The sequence below is a fragment of the Homo sapiens genome, chromosome 15, assembly GCF_000001405.40.
Source record: "Homo sapiens chromosome 15, GRCh38.p14 Primary Assembly".
NCBI lineage: Eukaryota > Metazoa > Chordata > Mammalia > Primates > Hominidae > Homo > Homo sapiens.
The window spans coordinates 82,284,947-82,306,283 of NC_000015.10; the positions used below are offsets into that span (position 1 = coordinate 82,284,947).

The 21,337-nt window shown below is 47.4% G+C and overlaps 1 pseudogene across 1 annotated transcript in view, besides 1 other annotated feature; it reads left to right on the forward strand.

Moving 5' to 3' along the window:
- Positions 1,383 to 1,482: an enhancer, noted in NCBI's record as "active region_9963". NCBI's record gives its function as "activates an Ori minimal core promoter by ATAC-STARR-seq in GM12878 lymphoblastoid cells {active_cell/tissue: GM12878}" and the evidence as "EXISTENCE:reporter gene assay evidence [ECO:0000049][PMID:35858748]".
- The window catches only part of ADAMTS7P1 (ADAMTS7 pseudogene 1), a 41,279-nt pseudogene continuing 28,278 nt past the window's right edge, over positions 8,337 to 21,337 (forward strand). The window contains exons 1-7 of the transcript NR_045529.3: positions 8,337 to 8,388; positions 13,602 to 13,957; positions 16,054 to 16,219; positions 16,510 to 16,559; positions 19,375 to 19,458; positions 19,804 to 19,928; positions 20,787 to 20,962. The product of NR_045529.3 is annotated as an ADAMTS7 pseudogene 1 (transcript). The remainder of the gene's footprint in view (positions 8,389 to 13,601; positions 13,958 to 16,053; positions 16,220 to 16,509; positions 16,560 to 19,374; positions 19,459 to 19,803; positions 19,929 to 20,786; positions 20,963 to 21,337) is intronic.

Sequence of the window (21,337 nt, forward strand, 5' to 3'; positions counted from 1 at the left end):
TTTTTAAGAGAGCATTTTAATAAAGTCCTGTCTAGGTTAACCTATACATAAGTAGATGTTCTTACTTTTTAAATACAAAACAATGTAATCAGAATTAAAAAGAAGGGAATACTACAGCACTCTGTCATCCCGTCCCATATTCCAATGCTGGATATTCAAATCACTCTGTAATTTAATAGGGGTGGTCTCCTCCCTGGACAAAGGTCACCCTTAATAAGACATCTACTAGAGTTTCCAGAGGCAATTTGCCATGGGATAAGGATTGAAGATGAATAATGGCGTTTCCCCATAATCTAACACTCAGTATAACAGGTGTGAAAATAGAGATTGAAACAGAGAACAATGTAAGACATTCAGCCTAGGAGTTCAGGAAAGTCTGCCTTAGGGAGAGGATGGACAGGTGAGCTGAATCTTGGAAGATAAGTAGGAAATTGCCAGATCAAGAAAAATGGGAAGGTGGGAACAGCATAAAAATAGGTACAGAGGGACCCTCTATCTCTGTGAAAGAGTTAAAGGGACTTCCAAGCTACGTTGGTGGAAAGCTAGCAATCCCTGAGTCATTCTCCTGTTAGGCCTCCTTGAAATACTATGTGGAAACACACACAAAAAACATTTTAACAGGGCTGGAAACTAGTAATATTACTTAGCAATCTGCCAGATTCTAGAAGGAATTTCCACTATGCTAAACTTGGATAAATCTAATGAAGAAAGGAGGAAAAATTCAGAGAGAAAAGTCAGTAGGTTTCTACCCCAGTCCCATCCCATTTCCACCCTATCTCTCTGGAAACCCTTGTTGTGTAAAATAAGACCACGGACTGAAATGAGAAATAAAGGCTTTATGATTTATAAAAACTGCACAGACAATGTAAGGAGTGAACCCTAACCTACACTATGGACTTTGAGTGATAATGTGTCCATGTAAGTTCCTCAACTATAACAAATGTACCACTCTGGCTGGGTGTGTTGATAGTGGGGGAGGCTGTGCATGTGTGTGGGAGGAGGGGCGTATGGGAACTCTATATTTTCCACTCAGTTTTGCTGTGAACCTAAAACTGCTCTAAAAAAATAAAGTCTAGGCCGGGTGCAGTGGCTCACGCCTGTAATCCCAGCACTTTGGGAGGCTGAGGCGGGCGGATCATGAGGTCAGGAGATCGAGGCCATCCTGGCCAACATGGCAAAACCCCGTCCTCTACTAAAAATACAAAAAAAATTAGCCGAGTGTGGTGGCAGGCACCTGTAGTCCCAGCTACTCGGGAGGCTGAGGCAGAATGGCATGAACCCGGGAGGCGGAGCTTGCAGTGAGCCGAGATCACACCACTGCACTCCAGGCTGGGCCACAGAGCAAGACTCCGTCTCAAGAAAAATAAAAATAAAATAAAATAAAGTCTATTTTGAAAGTTTTCTTAAAAGCCCTTCAAGGCAGGAGGGAGGTGTTCACTCAGAGGCTGGGAAACCCACATCCCAGCTTCTGAATATCTCACGTTTGCAGGCTTGCCTTTATACAAAACTATAATCTAAGGCCTTCTCTGAGAATCGCTGTGTGAGAAGATCCTCATGATACTCAGGAAGCAGAGGGGAGACCTCTGAAAGTTCAACAGAGTTGAGGAAGTGAACCTTGCAATCATGAGTGAGTAACTTCAAAAACGCTGTTTAAAAACATGCTGATAACATGCTTTTGAAAGTGTTGCGGTGTCCAGTGAAACATCAGGACTCTTTCATTTTGTTAAGGCTTTCGCTTTTTTCCCCTGTCATTCAATGCTCTTTTGCATGCAAGTGCAGATTTTCACCCTGTATCACAGACACAGGACTTTCATCAATACTATCCCTCCCCAGCCTTCTCATAAACACAGCACACAGCTTGATAGATGCTCTCTAGGGTGGCCAGGGGTACTTCCCCATCCCATCCAATATCTGTGTTAAGACTTCTTTTTCTTTTCTTTTTTTTTGTTTCTTTGTTTTTTTTTGTTTGAGACGGAGTCTCGCTGTGTCACCCAGGCTGGAGTGCAGTGGTGCGATCTCAGCTCACTGCAACCTCTGCCTCTTGGGTTCAAGCAATTCTCCTGCCTCAGCCCCCCAAGTACCTGGGACTACAGGTGCATGCCACCACGCCTCACTAATTTTTGTACTGTTAGTAGAGATGGGGTTTTGCCATGTTGGCCAGGCTGGTCTAGAACTCCTGGCCTCAAGCAGTCCACCTGCCTCGGCCTCCCAAAGTGCTGGGATTACAGGCGCGAGCTACCACACCTGGCCAAGACTTCTTTAATTGTACCCATCAAGGAACTATAATGACTAAGAAGGAAATGTGGCTGGGAGGTGCTTACAGACAGTAAGCAAGCAATAGGAAAACCACACCAAACCACAAAAACATAGGTAAAAGTTCTAAACAGATACTTCACCAAAAAAGATACACAGATAGTGCATTAATTTGCTAAGAGTACTATGAAAAGTACACAAACAGGGTGGCTTAAACAATAGAAATGTATTATCTCTCAGTTCCAGAGACCACAGATCCCAAGATCAAGGTGTTGGCAGGGCTGGTTGTTCTTTGGCTTGTAGAGCTCTGCCTTTATCTTCACACAGCGTCCTCCCTGTGTGCATGCAAATTCCCCTTTTCAAATTTCCCCTTTTTATAAGGACATCAGTCACATTGTATGAAGGCCCATGCAGATAACCTCACCTTAACTTGATCTTTTGCAACGACTCCATTTTCCAATAAGATTCTAGTCATAGACACAATTCAACCCAGAAAAGATGGCGAAGAAGCACATGAAAAGATGCTTAACATCAAGTTATTATGGAAGTTCAAATTAAAAACTGAACTAAGATACCACTACATACCTACTAAAAAGGCTTAAAAAAAAATACCACCACACACACAAACCTGATAATACCACTTACTAGCAAAGGTCTGGGACAACTGGAACACTCACACATTGTTCATTAGAATGCAAAACGGTATGGCTACTTTGGAAATCAGTTTGACAGTTTCTTATAAACATGCATATATCATATAACCCAGAAAACTCACCTCTAGGTGTTCATCAAAGAGAAGTAAAAATGTAGGTTTATGCAAAAATGTGTATATGAATGTTTATAGAACTTTATCTATAGTCACCCCAAACAGGAAACAACCCAGATGTCTTTCCACTGGTAAATGAGTGAACATCTATCCATATATAAAGCCAGTTCAAGGAACAAACAACATTTTGTTGTTTCAACATTTGTTGATTCACCCAACAGCATGCATAAAACTTAAATGTATTTTAGTAAGTGAAAAAAGCTAGACCCAAAAGACTACATGTTCTATGATTCAAGTTATATAAATTTCTGGAAAAGGCAAAACTATAGGGACAGAAAATAGTAAATGATTGCTAGGGGTGGGGGTAGGAGCAATTGACTACAAAGAAGCAGGACAAAAGAATTTGGGGTGGAGTGGAACTAAGATATTGGTTGTTGAATGGAATACTATGCAGCCATAAAAAATGATGAGTTCATGTCCTTTGTAGGGACATGGATGAAGCTGGAAACCATCATTCTCAGCAAACTATTGCAAGGACAAAAAAACAAACAACCAAACACCGCATGTTCTCACTCACAGGTGGGAATTGAACAATGAGAACACATGGACACAGGAAGGGGAACAACACACACCGGGGCCTGTTGTGGGGTGGGGGGAGGGGGAAGGGATAGCATTAGGAGATATACCTAATGTTAAATGACGAGTTAATGGGTGCAGCACACCAACATGGCACATGTATACATATGTAACAAACCTGCACGTTGTGCACATGTACCCTAAAACTTAAAGTATAATAATAAAAAAGTAAATAAATAAAGTAACAAAAAAAAGAAATTGGTGGTTGATACACAACTCTGTATTTGTCAAAACCATTAGAATCCACTGAGTTAATTTCACAGTATGTAAATTATAAAAACTGTCTCCCAGGATGTGGCATTGAGAAGAAAGGAGATTACCTAAGTAACTTCGGACAAGTGTTCAGATTGGATACTATAAAGCTAAAGACAAAAATGATTGTATATAAACACTGTACTCCAGTTTGTAATTTTTTTTCTCTGACAGAGGTATGTGTTATCAATTCTAAACTATGAGTATAATAAGGTTGAACTGAAAAAATATAGTGTAAATAATGACAGCCAGGCTTCTATCAGAGAAATAAGTTACAAATAAGAAAAAGATGCAGATAGCACTATTCACAATAGCAAAGATATGGAATCAACCCAAATGCCCATCGATGATAGACTGGATAAAGAAAATGTCATACATATATACCAAGGAATACTACACAGCCATAAAAAGGAATGAGATCATGTTCTTTTCAGGGACATGGATGGAGCTGGAAGCCATTATCCTCAGCAAACTAATGCAGGAACATAAACTAAATACTACATGTTCTTACTCATAAGTGGGAGCTGAAAGATGAAAACACATGGACACAGGGAGGGGAACAACACTTACTGGGGCCTGTCAGGGGAGCGTGGTCGGGGAGAGCATTAGGGAAAAGAGCTAACGCATGCTGGGCTTAATAATTAGGTGATGAGTCGATAGGTGCAGCAAACCACCATGGCACACGTTTACTTATGTAACAAACCTGCACATTCTGCACATGTACCCTGGAACTTAAAATAAAAAGTTGCGGATTATAATGAACCCTGTGGTGCTGAAATAGTGTCCAGGGTTTCAGTATGAATTCACAGATACACAAAAAAATAGATGTGTGTGTGTGTGCATTCACAGGTTAGTATATATGCTCTGTATATATGGGCAGTTTAATCGGAGATGGAAATTGTAAGAAAGAACCAAAAAGAAATGCTATAGATTAAAAACACTGTAACAAAAATGAAGAATGCCTTTGACAGGCTTATTAGCAAACTGGATTCTGCTGAGGAAAGACATCTCTGAGCCTGAGACTATCTCATGGAAATCACCAAAACTGAAAAGGGGAAAAGAGTGAAAAAAAATACAGAGTATGCAAGAACTGTGAGACAACTGCAAAAGATGTAACATACATGTGATGGGAATTCCAGAAGCAGAAGAGAAAGAAACAGGAGAAATATTTGAAACAATAATGACTGAGAATTTCTCTCAATGTGAGACACCAAACCACAGATCCAGGAAGCTCAGAAAACATCAAGCAGGATAAATGCCCACAGAAAAACTGCATCTAGCCACCTAAGTTACAAACTATGAAAAAAAAAAATCAAAAGATGAAGAGAAAATTCTGGAGGAACCTAGAGGGAAAAGAAAACACACCTTACCTACAGAGAAGTCAAGATAAGAATTACATCCAACTTCTCAGAAATTGTATAAGCAAGAGACTGGAGTGAAATATTTAAAGTGTTGAGAGAGGGGGAAAAAAACCCCACCACCAACCTAGAATTCTATATTCTGTGAAATTACTCTTCATAAGTGAAGGAGAAATAAACACTTTCTCATACAAAAATTGAGGGAATTAGTTGCCAGTAAACATGCCTTGAAAGAAATGTTAAAGAAAAGTTCCTTGGGAAAAAGGAAAATGATACATGTCAGTAACTTGGATGTATATCAAGAAAGGAAGAGCACTGGAATAAGTTAATATAAAATGAAAATTTTATTCTTCTTATTCTTAATTTATCTAATAGATCAATTCAGATCAAACTGATCAATAGATCAAACATCATTTGTTCAAAATAATAATTAGCAATAATATATTTGATTATGTATATATTTTTTGTATATAAATGATGTGTATGTTTGTATATAAGTGAAATGAATGATAATGATACAAGGGACAGGAAGGAAGAATTAGGACAATTTTGTTATTATAAGATACTCACACTACCTGTGAAGCAGTAGAGTGTTATTTAAAAGTGCACTTAAACTAGTTGTAAACGTATTGCAAATCCTAGGGAAAACAGTACAAAAAGAAGTATAACTGATGGATATGCTAAGAAGGGAAAGAAAATGGAATCATGAAATGCTCAATTAAAGCCACAAAAGATGGAAACAGAGTGGAAGTCAAAAATAGAAACAAAAACAAGGACAACAAATAGAACACAGTAACAAATATGGTAGATATTAATCTTACTATATTGATATAATAATCACTTTGAATGTCAATGGTCAATCACCAATTAAAAGAGAGAAATTGTCAGAGTGGATCAAAAACAAAACCCAACTATACACTATATGTTGCCTACAATAAACTCACTTTAAATATAAAGATACATATAGATTAAAAGTAAATAAATAGAGGAAAAACATACCATGCTAACACTAATCAAAAGAAAGCAGGAATAGCTATATGAATTTCAGACAGAGCAGCTTCAAAGCAAGGAAATTTAGCAAGGATAAAGAAGGGCATTACAGAATGACAATGGGAATCCATTCTCCAAGAAGACATAACAATCATTAATGTGTATGTGCTAACAACAGAGAATCAAACACCCTGAGGTAAAAACTGATAGAAGTGTAGGAAACATAGATGGATCCACTATCATAGCAGGAGACTTCAACACGTCTCTATCAGAAATGGACAGATTCAGCAGGCAGAACATCAACAAGGACTTAACAAGGCCATTAATTAACTGGATATAATTGATGTCTATAGACAACTTCATCCCACAATAGCAGATTACAATTCTTCTCAAGCTTACATGGAACATTCATCAAGATAGACCACATTCTGGGCCATAAAACACACTTTAACACATTTAAAATCATAGAAATCATACAATGTCTGCTTTTATGCCACAGTGGAATTAAATTATAAATCAATAACAGAAAGGTAACAGGAAAATCCCAAAATATGTGGAAATTAAACAACTTTCTTTCTTTCTTTCCTTCCTTCCTTCATCCCTTCTTTCCTTCCTTCCCCTTCCCCTTCCTTCCTTCCTTCCTTCTTCCATCCTTCCTTCTCTCTCTCTCTTTCTCTCTCTCTTTCTTTCTCTCTCTTTCTTGTGGGATACAGTAAAAACAGTGCTATGGGGAAATGTAAGGCATTGAATACATATATTAGAAAAGAAGACAGATCTTAAATCAGGATTCTAAGTTTACACCTGAAGAAAATAGAAAAGAAGGGCAAATTAAATCCAAAGTAGGTCAGGTGCTGTGGCTCACACTTGTAATCCCAGCACTTTGGGAGGCCGAGGTAGGTGGATCACGTGAGGTCAGGAGTTCAAGAGAAGCCTGGCCAACATGGGGAAACCCAGTCTCTACTAAAAATACAAAAATTAGTTGGGCGTGGTGGCTCGCACCTGTAATCCCAGCTACTTGGGAGGCTGAGGCAGAATTGCTTGAACCCAGCAGCCAGAGGTTGCAGTGAGCCAAGATCGCGCCATTGCATTCCAGCCTGGGTGACAAGAATGAAACTCTCTCTCAAAACAAAAACAAAAACAAACAAACAAACAAAAACAAAAACAAGTCTTGGAGTTGTAGCTTCCGTGAACTGTGATCCTTGAGAAAGTTAGGAAATCCCCCACTGGGAGTGAACCTAGGAAGTAGTTCTTCCCTATCTCTGTTATTTTCATCTCCTTGACCTGGGCTCCCCTCCTTATGTTTTCTGGCCTGGATTCTCAGATGAGGAAACTGAAACTCACAAATATGCAGTGACTCAGATTATACAACTATTAAACGGCCCACTTGGGCCTGCCCTGGGTCTTGTTACTTTCAAAGCCCACGCTCTTGACAGTGCATTATTTTGTCCATCCATTGTCTCCCATTTTACAAAACACATGCCTGGGCCAAGATTAAACTTCTTGTTGCCCATTCTTACTTTTGGCTTTTCCCCACTTCTCTGAGGGTTTACCACACAGTGCCCCTACCACCAAGAGGCCCTCCTTGTCTTCACTGTTGAATTAACATATGTTAAGGGACATCTCAAATGCATCCTCCTTGATGAAACTTTTCTTCATTCCAACGCATTCATAAGGTGCCATCCCTTCCCCTTGCTTGGACCTTGTCAGCACTGTGCCAGAGTGGGGGTCTTGGGTCTACCACACCCATTTTTCTGCTTTGTTTTCTGTTTTTTTGTGGGGGTCAGAGTCTCGCTCTGTCATCCAGGCTGGAGTACAGTGGCACAGTCTCTGCTCACTGCAACCTCCACCTCCTAGGCTCAAGTGATCCTCCCACTTCAGCCTCCAGAGTAGCTGAAACTACAGGCATACACCACCACGCCTGGCTAATTTTTGTATTTTTTGTAGAGATGGGATTTCACCGTGTTGCCCAGGCTGGTCTGGAACTCCTGAGCTCAAGCAATCTGCCCTCCTCGGTCTTCCAAAGTGCTGCGATTACAGGTGTGAGCCACTGCGTCCGGCCATTTCTCCATTTGAAGGCAAGGATGGTGTCTTATCCACTGTCCTGGACTTTGGAGCACCTAGTGCCCCCTCACAGTTAGTAGCCAAGGGTCACATACCAAATGCCATGGACTAGGCAGGTAACATAAATGAGCAAACGAGGTGGGTAGGGAGACAGATTTTTCCTGAAACATGGGGCTTCTTGGCCCATCTCTTGTTTTCCCACTTTTGTTAGAGACTCAGTTCTTTACTGAGTGAAAGGAAACACAAGCATGATGGGAAAGGGAGCCTACTTGCAGCCACAGTGCTGGGAATGAATAGGGAGTGGTGGGGACTGAGGACCGGGGAGCATAGGCCCTTCCTAAAGGGAACTCACTGCTCCACCCCAGCCACTTCTGCCAGGGAGCAATTTAAGCCTGACATGGATGGATGATAAGACTTTTCAAGAAAAGCTGAAAATTGAGATTTTTGTACAAGATCATGTGATTCCTAAACATTGGCAATTGACTAAAACATTTTTCAATATTTGTGTCAGCCAAAACAAACCAAAAAATCAATAACTGATCAACACAAGCAAATCTGCACGCTGTGGTTGAGGAGTTGTAGTCCCATATGTCCTTATTAGGATGTCAGAGCAAGAAGTCACCTTAAATCATCCAGTCCGGTGGTTTCTGAATGCCAGCCTCTGAACTGGCTAGATCAGAATCCCTGGGAAGGTCTAGAAAAACACAGAAAATACACATTCTAGGGCCCCCAGAGCCCTGGATCTGTGGAACTAGAATCTCTGGGCTGGGTCCTGGGCATCTGCAGTTTTTCAGAGCTCTCCACGTACTGCTGATGACCAGCCAGGTTCACTCCCAGTGGGGGATTTCCTAACTTTCCTGAGGATCACAGCTCCCGGAGGTTCTTGGTAAAAACAGCTTCCTAGTCCCTAGTCCTAGTTTCCTGGAAATGCTGGTATAGTGAGTCTGGGATGGGGCCTGGGAATTTGTTTTTAAGAAACTCATCTGTGAGATCTGGAAAATCCTTGCACTAGTGGCCCGTTGAGGCTCAGTGATGAGGAAGACTTGCTCAGAGCCACATAGCACGTTGCCCCAGCCCATCCAACCTCCTGACTCTCAGAGAAAGCTCTTTGAGGCCGGCACTGCTGGGGCAGTTGTGAGCAGTGGGAGATGCTCTCAGCAGGGGCACAGCACTGACGTGTGCAGGGCACTCTACATGCAGTTTGGCAGGGGACAGACTGGAGGGCGGGTTTGGTTTCCGCAGCCTGCTGGGATGGAGCTTTGGGCTGGGCAGCAGCAGAAGGAATCCTGGTGGGATGTCAGCAGGGCACTCAGGCATTCATGTGAGCCCGTGGAGTCTATTGTCGTGAACAGCCAGGATCCTGGGAGCTGGGTATAAACCCAATCGAGAAACTCCAGATTGCCAAGTTCCCTAACTGTGCTCTTTAGAGCCTGGGAACTGCAGAGAGGGAAAAGAGTGGGAAAAGCATGGATGCCAGGGCTCCCCCACCCCCGGCACATGAGATTTCTTTTGAGACTAGACCTGGTGGCCAAAGAGATTTGAGAAACGTGATCTAATTCAACTCTTTCACATTAACGATGGGGAAACTGAGGCCCAGTAAGGGATGGACTGTTGAGAATATAAAGCAATGTTACTGAAGAGACTGAAACCATTTGGGGGACTTGAGTCCCAGTCTCAGCACTGCCACTCTCACTGTCACTGTGTGGCTCTAGGCCAATCTCTCCACCTCTCTGAGCCTCCCTTTGCTCTCTCACCTAGGAAGCAGTCTGGACACCCTACTGCAGGTGTCCTAACCTGGGGTCCACAGCCTAAGGGACCGTGAACTGAGGGGATCCATGAGCTTGAATGGGAAAATATTACATATTTACTTTTTGTAACCTCTCAATGAAATTTAGTATTTCCCTCAATTATGAATATTATTAGCAAATCCCAACAGCACCTGTGATTTTGTTACCAATAGAACAAACCAAATATTTTTCTATCTCATTACAGTTGTTGCATGTATCTTGAAATAAGGTTTACGTTCATCACTACTTCAAAATTTCCGTAGTTGCTGGGCATAGTGGCTCACGCCTATAATCCCAGCACTTTTGGAGGCTGAGGTGAGTGGATCACTTGAGGCCAGGAGTTCAAGACCAGCCTTTCCAACATGGCAAAACCCCATCTCTACTAAAAATACAAAAACTTGCTGGGTGTGGTGGTACGTGCCTGTAATCCCAGCTACTTGCGAGGCTAAGGGACAAGAATTGCTTGAACCTGGGAGGCAGGGGTTGCGGTGAGCCAAGATTGAGCTACTGTACTCCAGCCTGGGTGACAGAGAGAGACTCTGTCTCAAAAAAAAAAAAAAAAAAACCATAGTTGTTTAATTTGCCAGAAAATCTTGTTTAAAGTATAATTCCACACCCTACTTTTTAAATTATTTTTTGTTTTGTTATGTTTTGTTTTTGAGATAATGTCTCACTCTATCACCTAGGCTGGAGTGCAGTGGCATCATCATGGCTCACTGCAGCCTCGACCTCCTGGGCTCAAGAGAGCCTCCCATCTCAACATTCCAAGTAGTTGGGACTACAGGTGTGCACCATCATGCCTGGCTAATTTTGTATGTGTGTGTGTGTGTGTGTGTGTCTGTGTAGCGACAAGGTCCCATTATGTTGCCCAGTTGGTCTTGAACTCCTAGGCTCAAGTGATCCTCCCCCCTTGTTCTCCCAAAGTTCTGGGATTACAAGTATGAACAACCTTGCCTGGTCTTAAATTATTTTGATAACTGTATTTCAATATAATCAATTTCCTTGGTACTCCTGTGCATTTATTTTATTTATTTTATTTATTTTTTATGGCAGGGTCTCCCTCTGTCACCCAGGCTGGAGTGCAGTGATGCGATCTCGGCTCACTACAACCTCCACCTCCCAGGTTCAAGCGATTCTCCTGCCTCGGTCTCCTGAGTAGCTGGGATTACAGGCATGTGCCACCACGCCTGGCTAATTTTTGTGTTTTTAGTAGAGACAGGGTTTCACCATGTTGGCCAAGCTGGTCTCAAACTCCTGACCTCAAGTGATTTGCCTGCCTCGGCCTCCCAAAGTGCTAAGATTACAGGCGTGAGCCACCGGGCCCAACCACTCCTATGTATTTTATTTTCTGCATTTCAAAATATTGTTCTGAGAAGGAGTTTGTGGCAAAAAAGGATAAGAATCCAGGCCTTATTGGGAAATCCTAGAGGACAGAGCAACAGAGAGGGGTTTTTAAACTGCAAGGGCCTGAGCAGAGGTCTGCCAATTTTTTCCATCCCTGGAACCTTTCTTTAAATGAATTCTTCCATGTAAAAGAAAGAAACCAGAGCCACTCTGTTGAAGTGGCAGTTAGGGGCCAGGCAGCCCCACTGGGGTGGTCTTTCTCTGTCTCCCCATTCCAGGAGGCCTGGAGACACTTGCAGAATGCTCACGCACCTGAGAGCACATTTTTAAATCCATCAGGCTAATAATAATCATAACAATCATAATTGCCATCATATTCAACCAGTGGTTCAGGCACTGCTAAATGTGGAGTAGCTCACCTGGTTTAATCCTCACAGCAGCATCAAGAGTGTAAGTGCTGTGGTTATCCACATTCTACAGAGTCATTCAACAAATACCAAAAAAGGACTAAGTTCTGGACACTTCCTCTGACACTTAAATCTTCAACAAAGAATATAAAGGGCCAAGTGTCGTGGCTCACACATGTAATCCCAGCACTTTAGGAGGCTGAGGTGGGAGGATTGCTTGAGGCCAGGAGTTCAAGACCAGCCTGGGCAACATAGCAAGACTCCCATCTCCACACACACACAAAAAAATTATCCAGGACCAGCTGCAGTGGCTCACACCTGTAATCCCAGCACTTTGGGAGGCCGAGGTAGAAGGATCACTTGAGCCCAGGAGTTTGTTTGAGACCAGCCTGGGCAACATAGTGAGACCCCATCTCTATTTTAAAAAAACTAAAAATAAAAACATATTAGCCAAGTGTGGTGGCACCCACCTGTAGTCCCAGTCCCTCCCTACTTGGGAGGCTGAGATGGGAGGATGGCTTGAGCTCAGGAGTTGGAGGCTGCAGAGACCTATGATTGCACACCTGCACTCCTGTCTGGGCGACAGACCAAGACCCTGTTTCCAAAAAAGCTGGGGGCAAAGAATATAAAGATTTTTGCCTTCCTAGACTACATTGGGAGGGGAGGGAGAAAACAAATAAATAGAAAAAATAATGAAAATGCTAAGTGATATGGTATGTCAGAAGTGCTATGGGGAAAAATAAAGCAAGGAAGAGGGATACGGAGAGCCAGGGAGTTGCAATTTTAAAATAAAGTCATTATAGGAGGCCTCATTGAGAAGGAGACATTTGAGCAAGAACTCAAAAGTGAGTGGTTTAGCCACGTGGAAAACAGAGGGAAGAGTGTTGCAGGTGTAGGGAACAGCAATGCAAAATCCTGAAGCAGCAGCATGTCTGGCCTGTGGAGGAACTGCAAGGAGGCCAGTGGGCGGAGTGGAGGGAACTAAGAAGGTGTAGCTGGAAATGAGATTGGACAGGTCACCTTGCCTAGCGTCTCATACAGGCCAGAACTTTGTCTTTTGCTCGAGTGAGATGGGCACCATTGCAGGATTTTGAGCAGAGAAGGACCATGATCAGGCTGGTTTTGAATGACTCTGGCTGCTATATTGAAAACATGAGGGGAGGGGCACCTGGGGTAGGCAATAGTGGAAACAGAGAGACCTGTTAAGAAGTTACCGCAGCAATCCAGGCCGGGCAGCAGTGGCTCACGCCTGTAATTCCAGCACTTTGGGAGGCTGAGGCCAGCATATCCCCTGAGCTCAGGAATCTGAGACCAGCCTGGCTAACATGGTGAAATCCTGTGTCCACTAAAAATACAAAAATTAGCTGGGCGTGGTGGTGCGTGCTTCTAGTCCCAGCTACTCCTGAGGTGGGAGAATCGCTCAAACCCAGGAGGCGGAGGTTCCAGTGGGCCGAGATCGCGCCACGCACTCTAGCCTGGGCGACAGAGCGAGACTATCTCAAAACAACCAACCAAAAACCCAAAATACAAACAACAACAACAAAAGGAGTTACTGCAACAATCCAGATGGAGAAACTGAGGCACGGAAAGATGAAATAGCAGAGTTAGTAGATAGCCCAGCGAGGATTTGAATCCAGATACTCTGACTCCAGCAGCCCCCTCTTGGCCGCTCCCCTCTGGTCCCTGGCCACCAGCAAGGACCCCGGTCTGCCCTGGGCCTAAGGCCTTTGTGGTTCCCTCCCTGCAGGAAGTGTAACCGAGGGCCGGGCGGCACCGGATATCGTGCACCAGGTTCGCGTGGACGCTGGGGGGTCCTTCCTGTCCTGTGAGCTGCGGCCCCGCGCACTGCGCAAGCGGGATGTATCTGTGCGCCGAGACGCGCCCGCCTTCTACCCGCTGCAATACCGCAGGCGCGAGCTGCGCTTCAACCTGACCGCCAATCAGCACCTGCTGGCGCCCGGCTTTGTGAGCGAGATGCCGCGGCGCGGCGCCCTGGGTCGCGCGCACATCCGGGCCCACACCCCCGCCTGCCACCTGCTTGGCGAGGTGCAGGACTCCGAGCTCGAGGGTGGCCTGGCGGCCATCAGCGCCTGCGACGGCCTGGTGAGTGAGCTGGGACATGTATACTTGGGGCAGTCTCGGGTGGTGGGATGTGGAGATTGGCTCTAGCCTTGCCACGCACTTGTCTGGTGGCTTTGCCCAGTGCACTTTTTCTCTGCCAGCCTCGGTATTCACGCCTGTAAAGTGGGAGTGACAACGCAGGCCTCGTTCATCTCTAGGACAACAGTTCTCAAAGTTTAATGTGAAAGCCGGGTGGTGGTGCACCTGTAGTCCCAGCTATTTGGGAGGCTGAGGCGAAAGGATCACTTGAGCCCAGGAGTTAAAGGATGTAGGACGTAGGGTGTGATCATGGCGCTTAGCTGGAGACACAGCGAGACCCCAGGCACTAAAAAAAAAAAAAAAAAAGAAAGAAAGAAAGAGAAAAGAAAAGAAAAGTTTAATATGAGCTCAAATCACCTGCAGGCCCTGTTTAAACAGAATTTTTGCAGGGTAGGTCTGGAATGGCGCCCAAACACTTGGATTTCTGAAAACGTCTCAGGTAATATTGAAGATGCAGGTCCAGAGATCCCATTTTGAGAACCTCTGTTTGACTGGACTAAGTAACTGAAAAAGCAGTTGACTTCTCTTCCTTGGGGCATCAGTTATGACTGTTCCTTCACAGGTCCCTTTAGGCTGCTTTTCTCCAGGAAAGCCACCCCTCACCCTGTAGCCATTCTGCAGGGTGTGGTGAGGAACCCCTTTCAGCCCCTCTGCTCGGATCAGAGCTCCGGGAAAAGCAGGCCTCAGCTTCCTGGTTTCGACTGGCTGAAGGGTGGTGCTGGCTACTGCAGCCCTAATTGCTCCCTGATTGGGTGCTGATTAGAGCAGCTTCCACTCCAGGCAGAGTAGGGCCCCTTTCTGTTCGTGTTCAGGTGACCAGCCCCACTCTCCCAGCTCTGGAGGGTGGGGGTTTGGGAGGAGTAGGGGATGTGTGCACACTCTCAGCGTCCACTGTTCCCAGGAGGCCCTCAGCTTAGATTGCTCAGGCAAAAACCATGGGCTGTGGCCGCACAGGGCCTAATGACAGGGCAGCCCACAACGCAAGCTGCACAACGTCTGGACCTTTGAAGGCCCATCTGCCCTGCACAGTATTCCCATTTATGGAGCCTGTGCCTGTCCCTTAATGTACAATTGATCTTGTTGAGCCTGTGCCACAGCTGTGCACATGGGGCATCATTCCCATTTCACAGATGAGGAAACAGGCTCAGAGGGGAACTTGCCCAGGCTCACCTAGTCATTCAGTGAGTGGTGGGCGGGAGGGGGGGACTTCGCATTCATACCCAGGTCTCCAGACCCAAGAGCTGATGCACTCTCCAGCCCTCCCTCCAGGCCCCCTGGTCCTGTGTGACTCAAGGGGCAGAATTGGTGCCTATGAGGGGAAGTCCGAGGGATGTAAAACCTTCTTTCCTGTTGGAGCCCTGAGCTTCCTCAGGAGGTAGTGGGCATCATAGATGCTTCCTGGGGCCCCTCCCCTCCCTGGACTCTGAATGTTGGCGGACATGTCCAAGACACTCCTGCCAGCTTCCCTTCTCTGGGCAGCCCTGGGCCCAGAGAACAGGGTGTCCTGGTGGCCGTGGGCATCTCCGCCACTCGGGTGTGGGTGTGGATGCTTTTGGAGTGATTCATTACCTTAGGGAGATAGAGGGAAGGTCAGAAGCCCTGGCCAGCTGGGAGGGAGCACAGTGCTGGAAATGGCTGGCCTGCAGAGAAGACGCAGAATAGCCTGGAGGCCTGGGCACAAGCTGCCCTGCTCAGGACAGCTGTCTGGGACTTTGGAAGACACCATTTTGTCAGATTTGGGTGCAGACCCGTTTTCCTCTCCTAATAGGGTGGGTGTGTGGGGCAGCATCCCCAGGGGCGGAGGCTTCTGAGCTCCGCTTTGAAGGTTTGGCTGTGTGTGAAATGGCAGAGAAGGGCTTTCCAGATGGAGGCTACAGAGTGAGCAAAGGCCCAGCAGGCGGAAAGTGCAGGGTGTCTGTGGGCAGTCACAGATGATGTGGGCAGTGGGGGCTCAGCTGAGCAGGATGGGCCTCTGGGACGTGCAGGAAGAGCAGCTGAGGGCCAGCCCTCCCTGTGTGACCCTGGTGCTTCTTCCCTAGAAAGGTGTGTTCCTGCTCTCCAACAAGGACTACTTCATTCAGCCCCTGGACGGTGCCCCAGCCTGGCCCAGCCATGCCCAGCCCCATGTGGTGTACAAGCATCCGGCCCCGGAGAGGCTGGCACAGCGGGGTGATTCCAGTGCTCCAAGTACCTGTGGGGTGCAAGGTATGCTCTTCTACTCCCAGTTCTCAGGCAGGTGCTAGGCCTGGGGACATGAAGGGGCCTTTCTAGAAGCCCCTCGTAACATGCCCATGCTCGGTGTCCCTTAGACCAGAGGATACAGACAGACAGACGGATACATCACTATAGCGTGTGCCCTTAATTGTGCCACAAGACTGTGTCCTCTGCCTTTCAGGCCTGTCCCAGTCAGTCCCCTAGACTGACCTCCCTCTCTCCATCTCACCTACTTCTCCCACCTTGGGGCTCAACCTCCCTCTTGCTCCCTCCCCACCAAGCCTATGGCACCTGGCTCTGCCAGCCATTCTCCCTCCAGTGTCCAGACCAGGTGAGCCATGCCCAGCTCCAACAGGGCCATTAGCCAGGAACCTCCCTCCCCATGCCACCCTGCTCCCACCCTAGAATAACTAACCTCTATTATTGGGACCTGGAGTGTGGTACCCAGTGCCTCCTCTGCAGAGCAGCAGTAGTGCCGGCCAGTCCAGGTGAAGAGCTGCCTGCTAAGGGTTGCTGGGATTTGGGGAATGCTTGGCTGGCATGCCAATCTCAGGCTGCCCACAGCTCTGGTACTCCATTTGCTGGAGCACATATCCACAGAGGCATGCTTCTTGGCCTCATTTTCCCCAGCTTCATAGATGTGCTTCCTCTTCTGATCTGGAGCAGCCTGGGTCAGGGGAGCAGGCTCAGTAGGGCAAGCTGGGCTGGGTCTTGGCCAGCCTCCCCAGGCTGGGGTTTAGAGGGTGGGGTCAGGGGTCAGTGTTGAGATGCACTAAGCCCCCAGGGTGGGAGGAAGTGACACGGGGAGATAGGGGCCCAGTAGCCAGCTTTGTCAAGCCCAGGAGTTCCCCTCCCATGGACACAGTACTTTACTGCGTTTATATCCACCATTTCATTTACCCTTTGAGGTCCCCCCATGAGGCAGATCAACTTATTCCTATTTTTAGTCAGGGAATCTCAAGATCAAAGAAAGAAAGTGGTCAGGCAGAGCCACACAGCACAGGTTTGGGGCAGAGCCAGGAGGGGAATTCAGGCCCCTCGCCTCTGATCCCTGTGTGGTTCCCAGTGCCCCAGAGAACTCGCTGAGGAGAAGCCCTGGAGACGTGTGCCCTGGGCCAGGATGGGCCAGAAGGATGGGGAACAGATGTTCCCTCAGGATCAGATGTTTATTTAAGACTGACTTGTTGAGAGCCATCGCTCTACCTGGGATAAGGTGATGGATGTGGAAGAGCATGATTCTGCATGTGGGGACTCTGTCTCATTGTAGCATTTCCCAAGGAATATTTCAGGGAGTGTGTTCCAAAGAATGCCAGTAGTGCACTGTGAAAAAAAAAGATGCTGCTGTTGAATAAGTTTGGCCACACAGGGTTAAAAAAAGTAAAACGGGCCAGGCATGGTGGTGCACACCTGTAGTCCCAGCTACTTGAGGGGCTGAGGTGGGAGGATTGCTTGAGCCCAGGAGGTCGAGGCTGCAGCGGCTGCAGTGAGCTGAGATCATGCAACTGCACTCCATATGGATGACAAAGTGAGACACTGTCTCGAAAAAAAAAAAAAAAAAAAAAAGGTAAAACAGACTTCGTTACTACAGGACTTCTCAGAGCCCTCAAAGTAAATATTCATTGAGAATCCCCAACAGAATAGGCAGGCAGCATTCCCCAAATTTAGGAAATAAGCAGGGGCTTTGAAGCAGTGAAACCTGGGTTCTGAGCCCAGCTTCACCCTCTCTTTGAGCTTCAGTTACTTCATTTGTAAAATGAGGATAATTGTGCCTACCTCAGAAGTAAGATTAAATGAGATAATGCATGCTAAGCCCCCAGCACAGGGACTGTACATGTTAGGCTCGATCAAGGTTGGCTGTGGCTATTTTTTTGGCTGCTGCAGTATCTGACCCACAGCCACCTTCAGGACAGCCTCATCTTTCTTTACCAACGCCACCTACAGACCCCAATTTATCAGTGTTCTCCCTGTGCTAGACTCAGATCTGAGTCCTAGAGCTTGGGTGGGTTTGTCCCAAGGATAGCAAGACAGGTCCCTTTTCACCCTATTTTCTTTTTTTTTTTTTTTTTTTTTGAGATGGAGTCTCACTCTGTCCCCCAGGTCGGAGTGCAGTGGCGTGATCTCAGCTCACTGCAACCTCCGCCTTCTGGTTCAAGCGATTTTCCTGCCTCAGCCTCCTGAGCAGCTGGGACTACAGGCGCATGCCACCACACTCAGCTAATTTTTTTGTATTTTTAGTAGAGATGGGGTTTCTCCATGTTAACCAGGCTGGTCTCGAGCTCCTGACCTCGTGATTTGCCCACCTCAGCCTCCCAAAGTGCCGAGATTACAGGTATGAGCCACCGTGCTCAGCCAGTTTCACCCCATTTTCACCCCCAATTCTGTTCTTACTCTCTGAGGCCACAAGCCCTTTTCGAGGGGCTCTTGTCACACTTTCAGCTCACCAGGAGCCTGTGGTTATCTGTAACCTCCAGATCTTACCTTCACAAACACTGCACACCTCTGGCATGCTCTCCAGACCTGCAGCAGAACAGGGCTGGGCTTCCCTGGATATCATTTATCCAGTTGAAACACCCCACATTGACCTTGGGCCATTAACCAATGTTACTTGGTTGAGTTGATCAGCCAATTAAGACCCTGCCTCCCTCCAACATCTCCCAATGCCTGTATTACCCCCATAGCTCCTGGGAGACAGTGAGGTTATATATGCTGAGGGAAGGCCTTTGTGGTGGCACTAAGCTGCCCCTAGCCCTGACTCAGAATATAGCTTGGGTCAGTCCTCAGGCAGGCAGAGCAGACCCTCAGGGGCTTCTGGTCCTCTGGAGCCACTTTGCTGGGGACTGATACCAAGCTTACCTGTCTGTGGTCTAGGAAAGATTTGTGGTCTGGGAAGGGGCGTCGGAGGCCTCTTGTCCTCTGTAGGTTCTGCTGCTGCCACATTGGGGCAGTGCGTGTGAGGTGTGGGGACACTCATGCATTGGTGCATGTGCATTGCCTATCCGCTGTGCAGCCTGTGTGCACCCGTGTGAGCGTCCCTGTGTGTGAGCACAGGTGTGCATTGCCCTGGGTGGGTGGGTGGCTTGGGGTGGGCATTGGCTGCTTGTATCCTTCATCCTGGTGACAGCCTGACCCCCTCATCTCTTGGGCAGGTGGCTGGCCTGTTTCACGACCCCAGCATTGGGAACCCCATCCACATGACCATTGTGCTCCTGGTCCTTCTGGAAGATGAGGAGGTGAGCGGTCATGTGGTCCCACGCTGCCTGGCAATGGCTTCGGCTGCCAGAGCCCTCCTGCCCCATGACCTGTGCTGCTCTGTATGGAAGGGCACAGTGAAGGCCTCCTTGGACTGGACTGTGTCCCCTGCCACTCCCTGGTTCCTGACTGACCCTCTCTCAGGTCCCAGGTCTCCTGCAGGAGGTTCCTACAGGAGGGGTGGTCAGGCCGGAAGCTGGACTGGTGCCTGCGGGCCTCCCACTGCCCTGCTGGGCCTCTGTCTCCTGCCTTTGTATGGGGGAGAATTGGGCCTGACCTTCTTGGAACTCAGGGGAGGCATGAGCAGTCACTCTCTCTGCCCCCAGGAGGACCTAAAGATCATGCACCATGCAGACAACACCCTGAAGAGCTTCTGCAAGTGGCAGAAAAGCATCAACATGAAGGGAGACGCCCACCCCCTGCAGCATGACACTGCCATCCTGCTCATCAGGTACTGCAGCTGCAGGAGGGTGGGAGCCTGCATCTCAGGGAGGTGCTTCCCAGCCCTAGGGAAGAAGCCCTGGTGGAGGAGGGGGCCGTGCTGTCAGGGAGCCCCATTTTGAGGAGAGTTTGCGCACCTTTGGCCCAAGGCTGGATTCTGTCCGCACTTAGGGAGGTCTTTTTATTTTGAAATAATTGTGGATTCTCACACTCTTGTCAAAAATAATAGAGAGAGGGCCTGTATAGCCTTCATCCATTTCCCCCGGTGGTAACATCTTGCATGACTACAGCACAGTATCCCAATCAGGAAACTGACACTGATACCATCCACAGACTTACTCAGGTCTCATCGGTTCCACATGTACTTCCCTGTGTGTGTGTGTGTGTGTGTGTGTGTGTGTGTGTGTATTCAGTTCTGTGCAGTTTCATCACTGTGGGTTCACCTACCCACCCCCACAGTCTAGATACAGATCTGTCCCATCAGAAGGATGTCTCGTGCTACCCGTTTATAGTCACAGCCACCTTCCTCCCTCCTCCCCTAACCTCCGGCAACTGCTGATCTGTCCAGAGGCAGTTATTTTCCCTCTGCTGGACTCTGGCAGCTTCTGTCAGTGCCCCTGCTGGATAGTAACCAAAATTATTCTGTGCAGGTCTGTGTTCCTGAGGGCCAAAGAGATGCCCAGTGGCTTGTGTGTGAATGAGAATACCTCCTTCCCAAGTGGCCACTGTGCTGGCCTCATGTCACAGAATGGTGGGAAGGACATCCTTTTCACTTGGGATCAACTGGGGGTGACCCTTCCCTGGCCTTAACTCAGGTGGGCCTGGCACTCGCTAGGTTAGCCTGAAGGCCGCTTCTCTGCCTGTGCAGGAAGGACCTGTGTGCAGCCATGAACTGGCCCTGTGAGACCCTGGGCTTGTCCCATGTGGTGGGCATGTGCCAGCTGCACCGTAGCTGCAACATCAAGGAGGACATGGGCCTGCCGCTGACCTTCACTGTGATGGCCCCTGCAAGCTCACTGGCCTCAAGAACAGTCTTGAGCACAGGTACCGTGCCTGCCCCTATTGCTACACTGAGAGTCGAGATTCACCCTCCCAGCCTGAGAGCACTGGGTATCCAGCCTGTGGGTCACAAAGTCCAGGGGAAAGGAAGCTCTCTGGAGAAGAAGCCCCGACTGTCTGGCCATGTGCTGCCCCTGCACTGTGCCCTCCCCACAACCAGGCTTCCCTGTTAAACAGGAGAGAGTCCTGCCTGGGCATCTCTGGGACTGGCCTGGAGGGAGTCTTATTTAAAGGGGAGTTGTGATGGGCTGGAAAGTCATTGTAGGTCTTTGGCTGTCCCTCCCCATTGCCCTCAGTGCTGTATTTTTTACTCTCGATCCCTGTCCCTGTTCCTGTTTGCTCTGTGGCCTGGGCCAGTGC